Below are 1,128 nucleotides of genomic sequence, written 5' to 3'. Positions count from 1 at the left end.
AGGCCATACAGTATGATCCCAATTTGGAATGTCTAAAAGGTGAGGTGTGTGCTCCAGAGAGCTGATTTCACACAGTTCCACCAAAGTACCAAAGCTGGCTCTTTCCTTGTGACCTCACCACTGCCCATCCAGGTAGTGTATGGGCTCACAAGTGTACTTGACCTTTCAAGAGAGGCACTGGCCACACAAAGTAATTTGCAGCAGCATCTCAGGGAACGGAGGGCCAACACTTGTGTCAGTTGGTCCATGTGCCAGAGACTCACTGGCTGGCCTCCATGGGCACTCCTAGCACAGTGGCAGGGAGGGAACTGCAGACTTAGTTCCCCAGCACCAGTAATACAAACGCTTACCTACACTGGGCAAGCGGGCAATGGGGCCTGTGGCAGCTCCCCTGGGGCTCTCATTGCCAGCAACAGATGGTGCTCACTCAGTCAGAGGCAACTCAGTACTGGTCCCCTCAGGTGGGTCTACATAGTTCCCCTTAAACCCACCAATTTCTTTCTCTAGGCAAGTGTTCTGTGCCTTCCATTCCCCCCACATGACTTTCCCCATAAGGAGATTCTTCATCTCCCCTAGGAGATGGGGACCTGGCTCCACTTTCCTTCTTGTTTTGTTTTGGTTTCGTTTGGTTTCTTGTTTTTGTTTTGTTGTTGTTGTTGTTGTCGTTGTTGTTTTTGAGACAGAGCCTTGCTCTTGTTGCCCAGGCTGTAGTGCAGTGGCGTGATCTCAGCTCTCTGCAATGTCCACCTCCAAGGTTCAAGTGATTCTCACACCTCAGCCTCATGAGTAGCTGGGACTACAGGCACGCGCCACCACACTCGGCTAAGTTTTTTTGTATTTTTAGTAGAGACAGAGTTTCACCATGTTGGTCAGGCTGGTCTCAAACTCCTGACCTCAAGCGATCCACCCACCTCGGCCTCCCAAAGTGCTGGGATTACAGGCGTAAGCCACCGCGCCTGGCCTTCCCTTCTTGTTTACCTCATTCAATTTTATGCACTTAATTATTCAGGACATGGACTTTCAGAATATTCACATCCCAGAGCTTGACTTTCAACGCTTTTAATTCTGATATAAGCACCAAAAGGCAATGTTGAACCTTTAAGAAGTGATGGGGTGGGCCTACGGGTG

This window comes from Homo sapiens, chromosome 15 (genome assembly GCF_000001405.40).
Source record: "Homo sapiens chromosome 15, GRCh38.p14 Primary Assembly".
Classification (NCBI taxonomy): domain Eukaryota; kingdom Metazoa; phylum Chordata; class Mammalia; order Primates; family Hominidae; genus Homo; species Homo sapiens.
This window is presented reverse-complemented; position numbering follows the sequence as displayed.